At 37.3% G+C, this 21,872-nt stretch overlaps 1 protein-coding gene across 14 annotated transcripts in view; it reads right to left on the bottom strand.

Annotated features, from left to right (window-relative positions):
• DOCK4 (dedicator of cytokinesis 4) overlaps positions 1–21,872 on the bottom strand; it is a 480,290-nt gene that overhangs the window by 265,239 nt on the left and 193,179 nt on the right. For all 14 annotated transcript variants that reach the window (XM_047421081.1, NM_014705.4, XM_006716189.3 and 11 more), the window contains exons 2-5: positions 12,700–12,783; positions 9,146–9,186; positions 7,100–7,155; positions 2,787–2,883 (exon numbers count right to left, since the gene is read on the bottom strand). In XM_047421081.1, the coding sequence (XP_047277037.1) occupies positions 2,787–2,883; positions 7,100–7,155; positions 9,146–9,186; positions 12,700–12,783 (278 nt within the window). The remainder of the gene's footprint in view (positions 1–2,786; positions 2,884–7,099; positions 7,156–9,145; positions 9,187–12,699; positions 12,784–21,872) is intronic.

The raw sequence follows: 21,872 nt of genomic DNA on the forward strand, positions 1-21,872 counted from the left end.
TCATAAAATCATGATTCTTTAAACACTGGATAGTTATGAAGGCTATTCAGATATATGAAAAATGCTTTTGATTTAATGCTAAATGAAAACAGTTAGGGTACAATATTAAACACTTGGAATAAAACAATATCAAGAGATTCTGGAAACATAAAAAAACAGCAAAAGTTAATTGAGAGTATTTTAGTGTTTTAGAAAGCGATGAGCTTTTATTTGCCTTAAAATGAAAACAGTACAGGTTTTGGCAGCAGCAGACTTAGATTTAGATTCAGGCTTCAGCATGAGACCCTAGGTAAATTATCATTGATAAGATTCAAGAATAAAAAGTGCCTGGCGCTGGGCGAGGTGGCTCATGCCTGTAATCCCAGCACTTTGGGAGGCCGAAGTGGGCGGATCATGAGGTCAGGAGATCGAGACCATCCTGGCTAACACAGTGAAACCCCGTCTCTACTAAAAATACAAAAAAATTAGCCAGGCGTGATGGTGGTAGCTGTAGTCCCAGCTACTCGGGAGGCTGAGGCAGGAGAATGGCGTGAACCCAGAAGGCGGAGCTTGCAGTGAGCCAAGATTGCGCCACTGCACTCCAGCCTGGGCAACAGAGAGAGACTCTGTCTCCAAAAAAAAAAAAAAAAAAAAAAAAAAAGTGCCTGGCAGAGCCCCAGGAAAAAGAGATGTAAAATGTCCAGCTCAGGGACAGGACAAAAGTACTCAGTAAAAGATGGCTGCTATATTTCTCCTAAACTTTTTGTGGTTACATTACTGATTATTAAGTGGTATTTTTAGAGACCATTATTTAGGTCCTTGGCAACGTTATTTAAAGAGCAACTAGCACTTTTCAAGCATTCACCATGTGCTTTTATGCTAAGCATTGTCATATAAATTGCTAACAATTTATAAAATATTATGGCCCCCATCAAACATCTTCCAGTAGAGAAGCTAGGTGCCTTAAAACTGTTGGAAAAGACGATGGACAATAACCTAAACACACTTGAGCATGAGGAACTTGAACCAAAACATTTGGCACAAAACATTTACATTAGGAAAAGAGAAACCAAAGGTCTGACATGGCCAAGGTAGCTTCACTCCTAGTATCAAAAATCTAATACCTCTGAGTTAAACTTAATATTTGTTTCTAATGGCACTGACTACCATTCCAGTGTCCAGGGAAACATTTAGATAATTTTCTCTTTCCCAGTTACTCAGAACACTAGGAGGAAAGGAGTTTACTTATAGAGTTTACAACACACAGATTTTCAAACCAACAAAGTCTGTCCCCAAAACAGACATTTGAAACCTCGAACACAGGTAAAAATAGCTAGATAAGGCAGAATCCAGAGGAAATTCAACTTTGTTCCCCACTAGTAGCTATATAAAAGGAAAAGTGTTTGTGTTCTAGTTCAGCTAATGGACAACACTCACACTGTCATTATTTTTATAACTCTTATATCGGGTATTTGGAATGCAGTGGTTTGAGCATTTCAAATAGTTTCTTTTTCCATGTTAGTGCCATGCCCAATGTTACTTTAAGTGAAATAATACTTGGATTTTGAATTCTTTCCAACATTTACAAAAAAAAAAGAAAATTTAAAAAGGAGATCTGCATTTCTTTGCACTTCCCTAGCACAGAGCCCTCGAGGTCGGTTATCTTGACTTTGTTATTTACAAAACCTATGCTCCGCCAATTCACCTAAGGTTTCTTGTGGATTTTCATAGTGAGTTCTAAAGCTACCAGCTACAGGAGGGTTTAATCAGAGAAGTCCAACATCAAAGGGTTTTCACTAGTGACTTTGTCAGATTTTCTTGCCTCAGTGAAATATCCTATTGCATTTCAGATGTAACAGACAATAAACACTATCATTCTGCCAGTGTCCCTCACTAATTTGGATTTTTTCCTCGACAGGCTGTTTTAAATCGTTTTGTCAGGATAAGCACACGTTTGTATTTTGAATTAATCCCTTCAAATGATTAAGCTGTTCTACAAATTTCTTTAAAAATAAAAGAAGAAATAGCATGGGGTCTTCCCTAATATTTCACCACCCCCAGACTTCCACAGTTACAGTGGGGTTCAGAGTGACAGCACCATATTCATACCAGAACCCCAGCTCAGCCATTTTCCCATTACTTGATGTGGGGTGAGTACTTCACTCTCTGTGCCTTATTTTTCTCATCTGTAAGCTGGATGTGATCATCATTATTATTTCTTTGAGTAGTAATAAGGATTAAAGAAGATACTGCATCAAAGAGTACTTACCATGGGATTTGCCACATAAGTTCCCAATGTGATTACTTATAGTAAGTAAATAAATATATACTACGTATCTGCAAAACACAGATCCTTTTTCCCCTCAAGAAACATTCTTTTCTCTAGTATATTTAGAATATTCTCATTGATACTAGCTAAGAAGTCTGTCATTTACAGTATACTTGAATTACTTACAGAATTTGAATTTGATAAAATACCAAAGCCACCAAAATTGTCTTGAATTTTATTTTTCCCTGGAAATTAAAAATATTCAGGAGGTTCAACAATAGGTCCATGTAAACCATCCTATTTGGTTAGATGCCAGAAAAATAATCTTTTATATTCCTGTGGTATTGAAAAATAACTTACAAAACCCATGCTCAGTGGACACAGAGATTGTAACAAGACTGTCTTGTTAATATCTATATCCCCAAGGAGTCCTGGAGACTTGCAGAAGGTGCTATATTAGTTAATGCTTACTCATGTTCATGTATTTCTTAAAACAATTCTTTACCCGAAAAATCGTGTCATTAAAAAGCTACTTAACCACATAGAGTTGTTTCCACATGGTTCCCCAGTCTCTTAATGTTGATGTCATTTCTGTGATAACAGAGTCTTCAGTGGGAATAACCATTTCAAATTGTCTGTGAAATTAAAAAAGAAAAAGTATATATGTAAATACCATAGACAACAATTTTGTTTTAAATACTCTAAAAGATAACTAGAAAAGAAAGCTGCCTAGCTATTGTTCGTTCTACAGACAGTAACCAGGATCTGGTTATAAGTTAATGTGAGGAATGCTACATGGGTTGTGGTAGGACAATACCAGAACAACCAGCCACTTCAACCAGATCAAGTTTGAGCAGCGTGGTGAAGAAGGAACAGCATCAGAAGGGTTGCACTCCAGTACCAGTTCACGACTAGGCAGCAACTCATTTAACCTAAGGCCAAAAGCCTTCATCTGTAACATGAGGTCACTGGGCTACATAAACTCTGAGGTGACTTTTGCCTTCCAAGGGCTATGACTATAGGACTCAAAGAGAGTAAAAGGAACACCATTCAATCACCAGGACATGATGGCTGTGGGCATCCAAACTAACTCAGTGTTATAAGTAACTAGACACTGAGATACTAATTGAACACTCTCTTGATCTCGGTAACACTTAATTTTTATTATTTGCAAACTAGGACCATGAGAAATGATTAGTATTCTAAGTAATGTTATCATACAGCATAGAACTTATGGCTTATGACATCACCGATATTTGAATATTCGTTCCAAAATGTTCCTCTTTCTGATTAGAGTAACGTAGTCTTCTCATTTCTTCTCTAAAAGTCAGAAACTATCCTTGGAAAATATTTATATCAATATCTAGTAGGGTGTGTATGGTGGTCCTGAAGTTGAGAATATGCATGAGGAGATGGGGGAAATAAAAGAGAAGTTTTGTGTTTTTTTTTTTTGAGAACAGAGTCTTGCTCTGTCGCCCAGGCTGGAGTGCAGTGGCGCGATCTCGGCTCACTGCAAGCTCCACCTCCCAGGTTCATGCCATTCTCCTGCCTTGGCCTCCCGAGTAGCTGGGACTACAGGTGCCTGCAACCACGCCCGGCTAATTTTTTGTATTTTTAGTAGAGACAGGGTTTTACCGTGTTAGCCAGGATGGTCTCAATATCCTGACCTTGTGATCTGCCTGCCTCAGCCTCCCAAAGTGCTGGGATTACCAGTGTGAGCCACCGCGCCTGGCTGAGAAGATTTAATTTGTCCTCTGTATCCTACCTTTGGCATATAATAATCTTCATCTCCAGTTTCTTTTTTCAAATTCTTTCTTTGTGTGTGTGTGTGTGTGTGTGTGTGTGTGTGTGTGTGTGTGTGTATGTGCAGGTGAAAGTGGTTTAGTGGCTATTACTACCACTGCTTCCCAAAGAATGCTACTGATATATTGATTGAGACTATTTTCTTTATTTCAGTATATTTTTCTCAAGAAAACGTCTAATACATAGAAAGTAATGACATATTAGACACAGAACCATGTTGTCTAATGATCAAGGGGAAATTACTTCTTAGCATGAGACTAATAACTGTTCTGTGATTCCTTTTTCATGTTATGTCCAAAGTGTATATAATTGTCTTTTGTAAAATCTTCTTGTCAGACATATGGAAACTAAAATCTTGCCTTGATTTTTTTCCCAACAGAGTTTCATCTCCTCATTTCGCAGTGCTGCTAAAATACTTGCCCTATGAATATTTTCCTTCTTTCTAGAGCTTAAACACAGCTGAAAATGTAAAACTGGGATTTTAAACTAGAAATAAAAGTAAACAGTAATATATAAACTGTGACAGACACAGAACCTTTTATTAAGTCTGTATATGACATTTTTAAATGGTGGTACATTTATTTTGCTTTTGAAGCAGCGTTTGCAATTTAAATGATGAATATTTGGAGATGGAGATTATAAAATGATCCTATACAAGGTCAAGGAGGAAACACTGAATTTCCAGGGAAACCTGACATACTACTTAACATTTAAAAAGTGACATGACCTCAGTAGGAATTAAACAATACAGAAGTGGCCTCCCTGTCCATAAACTATAATTTAATTGACCTCCAACAGTCCTACATTGATCTGAAGACACAAGAAAGAACATACACGCAATTCAGTCTGTGAGAAGTTGATTGGGGGTTGTCCAAGCAAAATTTAAATTTTTAAGCATAAAATTGCCATTTTAGGCAAGGTGACTGTTTTCTATTAATTATTCCAAACCCAAAATCAGTGTTCAAATAGTCTGTCGTAAGTAGTTACCTCTGAAATTATATTTTGTTCAATTATTCTAGGATGGACTTTTCCATTATTTCATCCTAGTGGGCCATAAATCCACTTAAAATAAGACAGGTAATACCAAAACCCCAAAGATGTTCCTCTCTGGGAAAGCAATTACCTGGCAATACATGCTCTCAAATGTTTTCAGGCCAAAGTTTTTCTTCCAGTAACAGCCCTAGACCTAGGGTCTGAGTCAATTCCAATAAGTCTTTTACAGAAACTAATGTTGGGCTTTTCTGTTCTTCTGCTGCACAATGTCCATCATACCTAGTGTCAGGTGGAGACCCCATAAGAAAGTCTTAAACTTACATGACCAAATTTTTAGGTACTTTACCCACATTTAAACTTCCTGGGGCTCATGGAAGGGGATCAGATATACACCAGTTACTAACCAGGATTTAAAAAAAGGACGTACTTATTTAAAAACCATATCCTACCCCAACTCACTTTGAGGGATAGACTTTGATTAAGTGGAGAGATGCTTGACATCATCTTTGCTAGCACAGCATTCTCTCTTTTCTCTTCCTTGGTCAGAGCATATGATGCCCTTTGCACTGCAGAGTTGAGGGAGGTCAGGGTTGGGCTTGGGACAAAGGCAGCAAAGAGGACTGGTTGCACAGGCTTGCTCAAAAGGACACTTTAAGAAACAGGGGTAGCCCATGGTGTTTTCACATTGCCAAGCCCAGATCACTAGCACAGAAGGATCAGAACAAAGAGTAAGCATATGGCTGGAGTGTATTCTGAAGTATCCTCTGGTTTACTGGAGGGAGGCTGAATGGTATCACATCTAGCTGGGTAGGAAAGTTTCAAAAGGACCAACAACTTGGCTTGATGCTTCTGGTGGATTATAGCTGCACACTTCCAAAGGACACACATTTCTTAAAAGATCAGTAGTAGTAGTGGTAATTATTAGAATTAGAATTATGCTTTTAATCTATTATTCAATAATTACTATTACTGAGTGCTACTACTAACATGCTTAAAGCAGCTCACATATATAAGACATGTAGAGTAATGGTCTCTGAGATTCTTTAAGTTTTACCCATATAGGGAACTCTCAAAGTATTTATACCATAGACTCTTAGCCACATGCATAGGCTGTTTCCCTGAACTGAAATTTAATATCATATCTTTATTGAGGAGGAAATTATTTGAATAGCCTCGTTGGAACTTTTATCTTAAGACTCAAGTTGGAAAATGCCATTACTATGCTTTAAGAATTCAAATAATAAATTGCTATTTATCACTATTTGAGAAAAAATATAATTTCTATGGCTGAATCTGTATTCTGTTGTCCTAAGATGAAAATTATGCAATGATCATGTGAATAGTCCTTGTGACACTGACACCAAATGTTTGTGTCTAAATCCATGGCCCCTTATGATGAATGATCTGCTTATGCTAACTATTTACACAGGCAAGTTCTTCTGTTTTATCCTGCTGTACCTTATTGGAATTATGTTAAAGTGACTGCCACTTCAAATCCTTTTGGAAATAAGACTAGAAATTTTTTTAATGTATTAGAAATACTAGGTGATCAATGAGCTCAATCAAACAAAGTATCATATAAATGACATTCTCTAAAATAGAATAATGGCTTTGTGAAGTGGTCACACAAGAATATGTTATTATGCCCATTTAGAGAAAGACACACTATGCATCTTAGAATCAGTGGTGAACCTAGGAAATTCCTGGGGTTTGAGATAATATGACAGCATTTAATGGGTCTGACTGACATGCTTCCCTAAGTAGCAAGAAACCAAAAAGAACCAACTCCTTCTGCTCAAGCATAGGCTGATTCCCTGATTTGTGGACACTGAGAGACCTCCAGTCTCTCAGATCCTCTTGTCCAGCACACACAGATGGGGTTCTTTAATTTTCTCCACCAACGGTCTTAATGCAATATATCTTTAACAAAGAACACAGACAATGGTATGATCTTCTACAGTTCATTTTTCAAGACAATTACTATGCCTTTCAAATTCCAAAAGAAGCAAAGGCTCTGTGAAAATCCTCCAACTACTAATAAAACTCATTTCTTACCCTTTGTTCTTTACACAGGCATTTTTCAAGTGAACGTAGCTGGAAGGAAATATACCCTGGAAAAGAAAACATGAAGGTTACGATGCCGGCTGTTAAGGCAGGGTTGGTTTCACAAGTCATTTGTATAAAACACAGCCATACAACCATGACAACATCAGGAATAGGGAAAAGCAACATCTCTACCACATTCTCTTGGATGAAATCTACTGTGGCTTAAGATCCATCCTTTCATTTTCTACCATTAACTACTTTAAAAATTTAGAGACATTCTAAACAAATATGATCAAAAAAATTAAATCTTACTCAGAAAACATAATGTTTATTAAACAGAAAATAAGAAAATTTCAGGAATTCTATATAAAAACCATGTTATACTGAATAAGAGTTTACAAAATATGTATTGCATAGTTTTGAAAGGTTCTTCGTTTTGATGGTAGTTCCTTTTTTTCTCCCCAAAACATTCATATTTCTCTTGAAAATATACATACAAAAAATATCACTGCAAATTTAGAGATAATATGTGTATTCTGTGTTATGGAAGATTTTTGATGACAACTCAGCAACAGTTAATCACCATGCTGCCATTCTGATGGAACAGAAATCAAACAAAAGAAGCCATGTTAGCTTGAAGCTTTTTATTGTAGGAAATGACAAGGCAAGGAAATTGTTTCTTTGTTCTAAATGGGAAATTGAAAGAAACAACAACAAAAAAATGAGCATCAATTTGATTGTTCATTAAATGGCAATTATCCTCTGAAGAATTTCTAATGTATAATTAAATGACAAACTCAATTAAATATTTAAGAAAATAAATGTCATTTGAATATATATATCACCATTGTGGATCCAAGTATAAAATAAAATTTAATAGGCAAATTCTTTCCATTCAATAGTAGTAAATATATATATGTAGATTTTTAAAACGCACTTGTTTTCTTCAATATGGTAGGATCAACAAATAGAGTAATTCTAACTAATCAGGAAAAGTCAGACTTGAGGTTTATTAGAAGTGACAGAAATAACAGAGAAATCATACTAAGTTTCCTTCTCAAATATGGTCTAAATGAATTCATTAAATACTGAAGCTATATTTGCATGTGCCTCATAGATATATAAAAACAATGTTAAATGAGGAGTAAAGTATTTAAAAAATTAAATTTATATACTCTTTTGTCCCTTACCGTTCCCCTTTAGGATGACCTAAAATACATGAAGTAATTAAACACAGTTGAATGATCCAGAAAATGGCATATTTAAGGAAAAAGGCAAAAGTGTATTTTGAGAATGAAAATACAAATTTCTTATCTACAATCCCAAAGCTAGAATTAAACCAAAAAAAAAAATGACATATATGAAAATATTAGAGAATGTAGGAAATACAGGTGAAGACTGAGGAGATTAGAGTAAGATAGAAAAACACAGATATTAGTAAGGATTACTGTCAAAATTGCAAACTATACAAATAAAAGATAAAACAAAAATGACATTACTTCTTGCTCTAATTCCTGAGGATTTATAGAAATGTATCAAGGATAATGAATCTTAATTTCTGCCTGAAATGGTAAGAAAGATGGGTTTTTTAATAATATTGTTTTCCTGGCTTCAGCCCCCCAAATCCAAAGGGACTCTTAACATGCCGCTAAGTATACTTGTTTCTCCATACCGATATTTTACAAATGATACCATGGAAAACATAAAGATTAAATACTGCTATTTAATATTTCTTTTGGCATATGTATTTCCCCTGCCTGAATTTTAATTTAGCTCTCTGAGAAACTACCACTTCAAAAAGATTTTGTTTATATATAATGAGCTTATTAAGGTCTTCTCAGTACAATTTTCAAGAGCTAAATAGGATTATCATTTGAGTAGCATATCTTAACTATAATCCAAGTTCAAAGGAATTTCCAAAATTATAAAAATTTGCAATATCATTTGGCATTTCAACTGAGTCCCAACTGTAATTTCAATTGTATAAAGAAATAATTTAAATAACTATCTTTCTTAATAAATTTCATAATTATAGTTAGAAATAACAATTTTTACCTTGATATTTGGGTTTTTTAAGGCAAATCCTCTGTACCAGCCTGTGGAAAAATAATCATGGTCATATTTTGATAAACCATTGTAATATTTTAAAGATAATAACAAATCAATCTGTTCTTTGCCGATGGAATTTTACCATACATGAAAAGATTCTATGGATAAATATGGTAGGTATTGGCCTTAGGCTACAAAATAGCTCGAGTGACCAAACATAAGAATTCTATTAATAAAACCATTTTTAAAAAACTGTATCAAAAATTTTTATAAACAACAGAAAAATACATAATGTGAATAAAGGCTTTAAAATCAGAGCATTGGGCTTCAATTCTGGCTTTGCTTCTTATTGTCTGTTTAATCTTGGCCAGGTTACTTGACATCTCTGAGTACCACTTCTTCCCATTTTATGAAAGGCCACATTATGTCACAGGGAAAGTCAAGAATCTGCACAAGATTTCATACATTTCCAAATTCTACTTGCCTGACTACAAACGCCAGACTCTGCCACCAAATAATAGTACCTGGCCAACAGTCATGACGTGAATTGCACATCCTTAAGCCTACGGTCTTGGGTTAAGATCAGTCTCATATCATACAAAGAGTAAAGCCATCATTCACTGCCAGAATTAACTGGCACATTTTCATCAGCACAATGGCTGACCAAGAGCTCAGCGTAATTTTTATTCTGTAGAATGACTATTATAGTAGGCCCTTCTTATCTGCGGTTTCACTTTCCACGGTTTCAGTTACTCATGGTCAACCTGGGTGCAAAAATACTACATGGAAAATTCCAGAAATAATTCATAAGGTTTAAACTGCATGCCATTCTAAGTAGCATGATGAAATCCCGTGCCTGCCCGCTCAGTTCCACCCAGGACATGAATCATCCTTTTGTTCAGCATATCCACACTGTCAGTGCTACCCACCCATTAGTTATTTACTAGCCCTCTCGGTTACCAGATTGAGGATCACAGTTTTAAAGTCCTTGTGTTCAAGTCACCCTTATTTTACTTAATCATGGCTCCAAGGCACAAGAGTAGTGATGTTGGCAACTGGGAAGTGCCAAAGAGAAGCCATAAAGTGCTTTAAGTGAAAAGGTGAAAGTTCTTGAATTTAATAAGGAAAGAAAAAAAAATCATATGCTGAGGTTGCTAAAATCTAGGTAAAAATGAATCTTCTATTCATGAAACTGTGAACAGAATATTGTTATAATTATTCTATTTCATCATTAGTTCTTGTCAACTGTGGCTAGTTTATGAATTAAACTTTATCACATGTAAAGGAAAAAATGTAGGATGTATAAGGTTCAGTACCATCCAAGGTTGCAGGTATCCTGGGGGTCTTAGGTCGCATCCCTTGCCAATAAGCAGGCTCAAGGACTGCTGGATTTAAGCTCCCAGCAATTCTGAATCAATTTTGCAGCACTATCCTTACATGTCTTTTTATAGTTTAAAACAAATCAGGATATATATTGTATTTTTTCAAGTGTAAAGACCATTTTGCTCATTGGCAAAAAAATTATTATACTATGTAGTAAATATTATGCCTAATAGAATTTTTTCAATGATTAAATTTTAGGCAAAATTTTAATACAAAACAAATATTTGAGCTTTGTATTTAAACATTTTTCCTCCTCATAATACATTTTCTTAAAAGGATATATTGTAAAATATCGTCCCTAACAGTTTTAAAATCAGTCTGAGGAGAGCAGAATGAACTGAAAATCAGAATCTCTATATCTCAGGGTTTATCAGTTGCCATAAAGACAGATCCAAGAAATACATCCATTTGTAAATAATTATTCTAACAAAAAACAAAACTTCTTGAGAATTGCAAAAATGTCATAGAGAGGTCTCTGTCCAATTATACTATACAGAAAAAGTCTTAGATTACAAAACACCTCCTATTAGATATGCAGTCCAGTTTCATGCACCAATTCACAATAAATTTTATATTTATCTGTATACAAAGTAGTAACAGACAAAATATATCTGGCAATAACACAGGAAATCTTATTATATTTTTTAAGGTATCAATCACAGTGGACAGAATAAACATTCCGATATCACCAGCATCTAATGCTAGGGTCTAACTAAATGTCGTAGTTCTGTTTGGGGGAATACAGTTTCATCTATAATAAACCTTGATATGATAAAAATATCATCATAATATAAATTCCTAGTAAGGAAAACCTTAAAAGAGGAAAAACATGAGTATTTTCGGATATACTAACGGGGCTCTAAAATGTAGTCATTTTGTTAACAAGAAAAGCTGGGTGGCCGGGCATGGTGGCTCACACCTCTAATCGCAGCACTTTGGGAGGCCAAGGTGGGTGGATCACCTGAGGTCAGGAGTTCGAGGACAGCCTGGCCAACATGGTGAAATCCCATCTCTACTAAAAATACAAAAAATTAGCTGAGTGTGGTGGCATGTGCCTGTAATCCCAGCTATTCGGGAGGCTGAGGCAGGAGAATCACTTGAAACCAGGAGGCAGAGGTTGCAGTGAGCCAAGATCCCGCCACTGAACTCCAGCATGGGTGACAGAGCAAGACTCCATCTCAAAAAAAAAAAAAAAGGAAACAGAAAAAAAGAAAAAAAGAAAAAGGAAAGCTGGGTGCAGTGGCTTATGCCTGTAATCTGAGCACTCTGGAAGGTCAAGGTGGAAGGATCACTTGAGGCCAAGAGTTTGAGACGAGCATGGGCAATATGGTGAGACTCTGTCTCTACAAAAAATAAAAAATAAAAAAATCAGCCAAGCATAATGAAGTATCCCGGTGGTCCTAGCTACTTGGGAGACTGAGACAGGAGGATCCCTTGAGCCCAGGAGATCGAGGCTGCAGTGAGCCATGATCATGCCACTGCACTCCTACCTGGGTGACAAAGGAAGACCCTGTCTCAAAGAAAAACAAAAAACAAAACAAAGTAGTCATTTGATCAGAAATCTTTTTAAGGACTAGCATTTAAGGATGTTTCATGGAACAGGAATGGAAACATTTGAGAACCATTAGCTATCTTAAATGAGTTGCCTACTACATAAATTAATAATCATCATACAAAGTCAGACAATATATTCTACTAATATTATTCAAGTGCATTGAATAATTTTATTCCAAGTTTGAGGGGAAGAAACTATAGGCCTGGAGCAGAGTTGGCCTGGGCAGGAGCCCTCCAGAGGCATCTGGCTACTCAACCTCAGGTAAGCCATGTCTGCTCTGGGCCTCTGCTTCTTCCTGTCCTGTGGGATCTACTAGATCCTGAGGATTCTGAGAAAAACCTTCTAGTTTGGCACTGAGTCAAGAACTCCCACAGATATGGTAACTTCAACTGCTTTCTCTGTTTGCATCTAATGATTATAAGGAAATAATATTATAATCAGCTTAAAAATAGGAAATGATGCCTTTCCATTAGCCAAACACTGAAAATGCAGGAAACAATTTTGTCAAAAATGACTTGTGGTGACTACTGGAAAAGTTCCAGAGATTAATAGCGGTATGGACAGAATTTGTAGACTTTATGAACAGCCGTATGTTGAGGAGGTTGTTCATAAGGCTACTCACCATCACACTTCTCCAGGATCTGAACTGTATCTCCAATTTCCAATGACAGGCCATATGGAACGGTTCCTCGGAAACTGGCAATAACTGTAAAAAATGATAAAGAATATATGAAGACAATCATGTCCATTACAGCTTATTATTACATGTTATTGACTAGGAAAAATGAATATAAATAGGAAGTATAATTTGATAGCTGGAACCCTCTGTCATATTTTAATTTTATATCTTTCTAAGAAAATCACTAAGTTCACATACTTTGCCAACTTCTTAGATTATTATAAATATGCATTTCACATATATGAAATTTATTAAAATAATACACAATATATCAATGCTATCACTCAATAATAGATATAAACAAAGGTATTGCCTGAGAGCTCCTTAAAGGACTGTGACCCTTTTGTTTCACTGCTTTCTTCACTCCCTCATCCAAATGCCGGGCCCATAGTAGTTAATAAATATGTGTTCAATAATAAACGAGGAATATATTTCCTGCTTGTTATTAGGCTTGGTTTACCTTTCTGCTATATTGTTTGGAGCAGATTTCTTTTCCATAAACTGTAAGTTTCTCAAGAGAAGGGACTGCATCCATTTGCTTACCATTACGTGCCCAGAGCCTAGCATAGTATGTGGTGCATAAAAGCAGTCTTCTTCTGCAGTAATCAACGGAGACACTTTATTTAGTAATGACTGGGCCCTCCCGCAGGTCTAAACACACAGCCACCACAATTCCCACTTGCACAATACCACTTGGAATGGGGAGGGGGATCACAATTAATTATAGATTAATGGTTTAGATTAATTGGTTTCTGAAACATTTTGCAGGGCAGGACAGGACTAGGATGGTGTATCCATACGGAGAAAGTACGCACAGATTAGTCCTTTTCTGGCAACTCCAGGAATTATAGAGAGAATAAAGCTCAGTGATTCTTCCCTGAATAGTAAGTAAAGCTTGAGTCAGAAAGGAGGCAAATATGGAGAAATGAAGAAAATGCATTTCAACACACAAAAAGAAAGAAGACAGCTCCTATGAAATACTATGCACACTGAAATCAACTAACAATTCACATCAAAAGAAAATGATTCTTAAAAGGCCAAAATTTTAGGAGGGAAACTTATAATTTTGCTTCAGAGTGAGATTTAGATATAACTCCAATCCCCAAAATAAGTTATTGCTACTGTTGGGAATGTATATTTTAAAAACCTAAAGGAACACACCAATCTGTCAAAAATGAAAACATGCCAATAAGTAATGAGCTTTTAGAGAAGTCTCATGCCCTTTTATGATCTCAAAACAAAATTAACAGTAGAGGTCAAAACACAGGACAGAAAACACAAGCCAAAGTCCATGAGACAGAACAAACTAACTATATGGATAGAAACCAATTCAGAACATTTAGCCAAGCACTAATTTATGATATCATTTTCTAACTATAACCATGAATACCATTAGCCTCATAATGACGTGCAAGAAGCATTTTGCTGGCAAAACAATCAAGGGTCTATATATCTTGACAGATTACTTCATTTAACTTTCAGAGACCTCTTCTTACAAGGGATCAGCAACTGAACTGACAGTAGATTGACTGCAATTTAAAAGACTTCAAGCCAAACTTATACTCAGAATTGCCTTTCCAAACTCTGCACTACTGATGTTTCTCTTAGAAGTCTTGGTGCATGGACTTCCCAACACAGTTTTGTACACAGCTCCTACCACTCAGGAACACCCTTGTACACCCAGGGCTGCCTCCCGCACTTCTGGCTCTCCTCTCTTTTTCCTCATCACCTTCTTGAACACAGCAGTACTACTAATAGACTTCATTTCTTCACTTTCCTCAGCCCCTGCAATCCAGCCTTTGCTGTGTTTTGAAACTGCTTTACTAAGATCTCCAGTCCCCTCAATGTGGCCACACTCATTTTGCCTTCCAGGAATCTTCCCTTTCTTGAATCTTCTACTGCTTCTGTCACACTCGCCAGCCTTCTCCACACCTTCTTTCTTAGCCCTCCTCTTAAAGGTTGGTGTGATCCAAGTTTCATTCTCCAGACACTCAAGTGTAGGAAAATAGCATCAAGCCTGGCATTTTGACACATGGATTTGAACCCCAATCTCATCACTTATTACCTGTGTGACCTCGGTCAGGATATCAACCTCTCAGAATCTCCACATCCTCACTGTAAATCATCACTGGGTGAGTGAACAAGGGTGTGGCTGGGTGTAAATAATCACTGGGTGAGTGAATGAGGGTATGGTTTAAGGGTGTGGCCATCACCATTAAATGCTCTGGTCTTCAACAGTCGGGTTCTTTTATTATTGAGAATACTATTTTAAGAGTGTGCTTAAAAATCTAAGAACCAAAAACTGCATTACATGGGAAAACTCATTCTTTCATAGGAGTTGTTTAAAACTGGGATGACAGCTTGTCTGAGCCATAACCATGTATTATCTCATTTCTTATCCAAACGGTCTATGTGGGTGAATTCTGATTTGACTATTCAGCTACGTAATATGTAATAAACATTAAAGGTAAGCAAAGAAGTTCCCTAATCTCATTGGCCTTCAGATGGTTCCTCTATAAAACAAAGGAGCTAGACAAATGAACTGAAATTCCCCTGCCAGTCGCAAATTCTGAGTCTGCAAGAGGACTTTCAGCTCAGCAGTGACATGGCATAGTACTTACCAAAGAACTCTGCCTCCAAACCAGCCTTGTCTGTGTAATCACTGCCTGTGATCAAGTGGACACTTGTCTCCACCTGCAACAGCCATCTGATAATGCAGAAGAGACAGCCTGCTCTCAGCATCTCATGAGGCCCTTATCAACTGCTCTCCGACTTTTCTAGGCTCACACCCAACCCAACTCTCCACACACTGCCCTATGCTCAGCCACACACAAATTCTCATTAAGCTTTTTCTTGCAGACCTCAGTGCTTTTACATCTATTATTCTCTATTTAGGGGGTTGCCTTCTTCACTCCTACACTGGGAAATGCAAAGCAGCTTTAATTTAAGGCTTTGCTCCAAGGTTAGGACATTAGAAGATTTCCTGATGTTACTCCTTCCTTTTTGTCATCCGTGGGTCCATGTGGAATACAATTACTCCCTCATCTGTGTTCTCAGGACACTCCGACCACACCTCAAATATAGTAAGGCATCACATAATATTACAGCACTTCGTCTATCTGTGTCTTTCTACTTGGGAAGAGAAACTATTTCTCATTCATCTTTCAAGAGCCAGCATGAACATCTGAGTATAAGAATGGAGTACAAATACATGGAATGAATGAATGAATGAATGAATGAATGAAGCCACTGAGGAATGGTGTCTAGGTTTTAATGGATTCGGACAACCTCAGGGACTCTTCTCGTAACTAAAAGTATCTAAGGAATAAGTTTTAAACTGCGGATCATATTGGAGAGGAATATTTTTCAGGCTATAGTTCAAGGAATGACTTTGATCTTTATCTTCTAAAATGGCAAGTCACTCTCAATCACTGAGTTAGACAAGTAACTCCACCTTGCTGTGTACTAATGAATAGATGGATGGATACTATACTCAGGAAAAATGTTTAGGCTTCAGGTTATGAAAGAGAAAGGCAGTTCTAGGTAAAGAGCGAAGAATTTGAAAATATGGTTGGCTCATGTTTCTCAGTGGTAGCATATAATGTATCATAAACTAAGGAAAACCAGTTTAGCAAAGCAGATACCCATACACCACGTATGCATTAATGAAGCTTCAATATGCAATTCTGTCAAATGCACTTAAAGTATCTGTTATTTTCAAATTCTATTTGGAAACAACTTTTCAACTAAATCCCTTTAAATTTCTCCAAGTGTTTCTGCATGAAATACATCTATAATTGAAAATGCATTGTCACCAGTTATTATAAAGTAGCTATCTCTTTATACAAAAGTTTATTCATGTACACTTCCCAGGGGCATTTTCCCCCAAATAATATCACGGTTTACCAAAGATGCCTATACAGTGTTTTGATCCCTCCATTTCCTTTTCTTGTTTTTCTTATAAATTGAACAGTTTCTTATAAATTGATCCTTAGTAGCTACAGGAAACAATCACAGAAAATGAACCTTTGGTAAAGCTGGGAATATAAATATTCGGTTCTATTATTTTAGTCATACGGGCCCTGAGAGCACAATTTTAAACTGCGTATAAAAACTACTGCTGTGGTGATGTGTTCATCTCTGCCCATTTGCTACTATGGAAAAATTTACTTGGATTAATAAACCCAGTTTATATGTATATAAACCCAGTTTACAGGAAAGTCCTTAAAAAATATCTGTCAGCTGAAAACACTAAATTCATAGCATAACCATTTTGAAAAAGATGTCCTAACCAACTGCCTGTTATTACTAACAGTATCATTCCTTTATATAATGATATCAGTTTAGTACGTATTGACAGTTTATTAAGAATTAAATAGCCGTGAGAAACAGTCTCAAACACAACTCCTAATTTTCTATGAGGAAGATAAAAAGAAGGTAAATGATGCAGTGAAATGGGGACTCATTCCTTGGTTTCAATGATGCTATTTGCTCATGCCAAGAACCAATGGACATTTTAAAACTTTTAAACTGAATACAAAGAAACTCAATCACAACAGTCCATGACTTTTAAAATTTTAAATCAAAACAAAGTATTAAGAATTATTGGCCAGGCACACTGGCTTATGCCTGTAATCCCAGCACTTTGCGGGGCCGAGGCAGGCAGATCACTTGAGGTCAGGAGTTCGAGATCAGCCTTGCTAACATGGCGAAACCCCGTCTCTACTAAAAATACAAAAAGTAGCTGGGCGTGGTGGCGGGTGCCTGTAATCCCAGCTACTTGGGAGGCTGAGCAGGAGAATCGCTTGAACCCGGGAGGCGGAGGTTGCAGTGAGCTGAGATCGTGCCACTGCACTCCAGCCTGGGCAACAGAGTGAGGCTCCATCTCCAAAACAAACAAACAAACAAAGAATTATTATAAGTCAATCACATAGCTGTAAGCCACAGACAATAACATATTCTTCCTCATCATTGTCAAAATAATATTCAAAATGATTCTACTTGGCACAGGTCAATTCCAGCCCAGCACATGCTGCCCTTGCCCTTTACAGGCTGACCATCTAAGAGGAATGGAACATAATGCAGGAAAGAAATCATTAAAATGCTTTGTCTTTTGTGATACAAAGGAAGGAAAACTTCTCTCTTCAGGCCAGATTTTGGCTTCATCTTTCTGCTAAAAGGATCTCCAACTCATGAACAGGTTGTGGTTTAAAAGGTCACTTATGAGTCAACTGCTTACAACACAGAACACACAAAGCTACTCTTCTCAAGTTCTGAGGCTAGCCCACAGAATCCTATTTCATGGCAAAAGGAAACTGTTGTTTTTCACAGCAAAAATAAGCTGACTGCACCAGAATTAAATATAAAATTTTATATCAGTGCTTGTAAAATATTGAACACTGGTCTGAAAACATAGCAGTGTCCATCAGAAGGCAGTGATGGAGCAGGCATCGGTGTTGTAGACATTCTAAAGGAATTCTTAGACCTCTGAGGTCTTCAGACTGGTTCCTTCCTACATCCATGTTCATTTCACATTCGGCTCTGGCGTGTCATGGAAGTATCCATTAAGGTTTATCAACATTTATGAGGATTATTTGGGGGGATCACAAATGGAAAAGAGATAAAGGGGTAGAATTTCTGAAGAACCTCGATAAGATTTGGAAAAAACAGAGAAAAAGGAAAGGGATTAAGGAGAACTAAATTCTTTTTTTTAAAATTGTTTTCATTTCTTTGAGACAGCGTCTCACCGTCGCCCAGGCTGGAGTGCAGTGGCATGAACTCAGCTCACTGAAACCTCCACTTCCCAGGCTCAAGCCATCCTCCCACCTCAGCCTCCTCAGTAGCTCGGACTGAAAGCGTTCGCCACCACACCTGGCTAATGTTTGTATATTTTGTAGAGATGGGGTTTCGCCATATTGCTCAGGCTGGTCTCAAACTCCTGAGCTCAAGCAACTTGCTGGCCTTGGCCTCCCAAAGTGCTGGGATTACAGGTGTGAGCCACCATGCCTGGCCAAGGAGAACTAAATTTTTCTCAGGTACTTTAGTTCATGAAATGGAGAACTATGATGGAAAAGGAAAAGGGGTCACCTCTTCTACATATGTACAAAACCCCACTGTAGGGAAAGATAAAATATGGTGGAAAAAAACACATCAGTAGTCTATTTCAAGGTACTTCCCTGTTTTCTAGCTGTCTGGGACAGGGCTGGAGGAAAGACAGAAGTCATTTGGAGATTTCTTTTGGTACTGTCATTTTGAAAGTATAGCATAGAACTGTTTTTCTTCTTTATTCCCTTCAGTTTTTTCCCTCCAAAAGATGAAGTTAGGAGCAAGCTGGTTATTCCTTACCGCTGGGAACTCCCAGGTGGCTATGTGTGTCACAGTAGGACTACGTGGAGATGAAGTGGTATCTCCTGGATACTGCTCTATGGTTCAAATGAACTCACTGGGAAGAATAGAGAAATGCTGTGTTCCATCTTCTGATCCTCAGACCTGCCACATGTTTGGGATCTGCCTTCATCTGGTAATAGGCTGTGCCCACAGGCCTCACACACCTTGCAGGCTCACCTAAGAGGCACAAATATATGCACACTCAAAAGCAGGACTGCATTCTTATGCCAGTTATCACGGTCAGCCTTTGAGACATGTCACGCAACTCTCTTCTGGCCTATGTGACTTTGAAAAATCAGAAGCATATTGAATGAAAGGTACGTAATTGTTTCTGACGTATTAAAAGGTACCACCTGAAAATATATTGCTGCCTTTGACTGTTAAGAGGATAGCTCTCCCAGGGATTGCAGAATGTCATCCTCCTTGAACCACAAGGCCAAGGCAAAGCATGGTGGTAGGTACTGTGATGCCCCTCCCAGATCCTTCTTTGGAAATCAATGACTCTCCCTGTGGCTGGGAGTGCTGGGGTAGATAGTCCTCGAACCCTAGCACCCTTCTGGGATGGCTTCAGCTGAAGAGAGCTGCTTTGCTCAAGGCTGGGGCTGCTTCCCAGGGTGGCTTACATCCAGTGAAGGCTGGGCCTTGGCACTACAACTTGGTATAACTCTGCAGGGCCATTCCCACTTAACTGACCAAGATTGTCACTAGGCCTGCATCACAGATCAACTTCGCCCTCTGGCAAGTTCTGCTTCCTTCCTCGTCACTGCACTGGGGTGAATCCCGAGAGGACTTCCTGCTAAATACCCTGCAAGCCAATCTCCATCTCAGGGTCTGCTTCCTGAGGGGCTCAGCCTCTTACAAGCTTTCAAGCACTCCCCATTCAGAATTTACTTCTGGCCCAATTTGTTTAAAGTCCTCTTTCTAAGGGAGAAGAAAAAATAACATGATTGCATTACTATTTTATCTTAAGGATTTTGCTAAGTTTTTCATGTGTTAGTTCTAACCTTCTATGACACAGACATTTCAATACTCATTTTAGAGATAGAGAAACAGAAAAAAAAAGAGGCAAACAAGGAAGAGAATTAACAACATCAGGAGGGAATTTTTCCACATTCAGATTTGAAGACATTGTCACGGTGGCAATAAATGAACCCGTTTTATTCTCCAAAGGGTCATAAACAGGCTCTTCACCTTGGATTTCATGTCACAAATGCTAAGGTCCTTTCCTAAGTGGCTACAAGAAGAACTGAAGGTCAAAAAAAAAACAAAAAAAAAACCTTTAAGTTTAAGCTGATTATTGCATCCACCTATCCATACTTCTAAAAACAATGTAATATGATTAAAAGGTTAAGATTTTGGCAACAGCCAGTCAAAAGGAGCATCCTAGATGAGATGAGAGAAAGCCCAATTATTTCAAAAGCCTCCTAGCACTTAGGAAAGGGTAACAATGTGAATTAGATGGAGGCTTGGGATTTAGCTCCACCAATTATGAACCATGTGGTCCTTGGTCCTTTCATTTGCTAGCCCACGATGACACCCCCTGCCTGGCCTACCTCACAGGATGTCACAAGGATCAAACAAATATATGAGAATTTGATGTGTAAGTAAATATGAAATAATAGAATTTTTTCATCATAATTGTTAACTGGAAATTTGGAAGCTAGATCTGAATCTGCTATAGATTCAAAAGCCAAAATAAGCCTTCCATTTATAATAGTAAATAAAAAACCCTTTCTCTATTCTGTTATTACAGTTTCTTGGAAATCGTTATTAAGTTAAACTTAGACAGACGCAGGCTTAAGAACCTCAAGAGGAAAAAAAGCTGATAATACTGCTTTTTCTGATAAGGCAGCAAAAAAAAAAAAAATCTTTGGCAATGAGACTGATAAGGAAAGTAACGGGGTTAAGAGGGATTTTCCAAAAATGCTAAGGCAGAGTTAGGAAGGGAGGCAGATGCAACTTTTACCATTCATTCTGCACAACAGTATTATTTGTGCAAGGGACGATAGACAGCACGAGGCAGGAAAAAATTACAATACAGTCTTCATGTCCCAGTGGAGAATGAAGTTACAGAAGGCAACTGCTTTTCCCACAATCCAAATGAAAAACTGTTTTAATAAAATATCATTTTCCAACCAATTGTACTTAATCCACCACCAATATTTGGAAAAAATAAATGAAAAAAAACCTCCTTTTTCCAATGAGAGATGGTTAATATTCAAATAATATTATTTAAGATTAAGAACTAAGATTATTTAAGATACAGGATTAAGTTTGCTGACTTTTTGTTACTTTTAGTTTTTTTTTATAAGAGAAAAGAAATGTTATATCCCTCTGTTCCTTTTTTTTTCTGATTTCTCTCTTTGAATACTAAATACTCAAAGTCACAAAACATATAACACAGTAGAATTGAAGTGGGACATGCAAATATCACTGCCACCTCCACCTCGCAACCGGAGGGACTCAGCAGGCCAGCCCAGTATCATGAAAGTCACGAAAAAAAGTTAGCAAATATCACAAAAGTGAATTGGAAGACAGAGACCCAGCCTCCACACACACCACTTTAAAATGCCCAGCTTATTTTTGCAGCCTCTTCTATAACGTTCTCTCCAGCATAATATTCGGTCCTGTATCAGCTCCAATCACTCATCTTCCTCATACAACTAAGCATTTATTTTTCTGATTTTTTCTTCTTAGGTATTCTTTTTTCCAATGTGGATTTTGACTCC

Source organism: Homo sapiens, chromosome 7 (genome assembly GCF_000001405.40).
Source record: "Homo sapiens chromosome 7, GRCh38.p14 Primary Assembly".
NCBI lineage: Eukaryota > Metazoa > Chordata > Mammalia > Primates > Hominidae > Homo > Homo sapiens.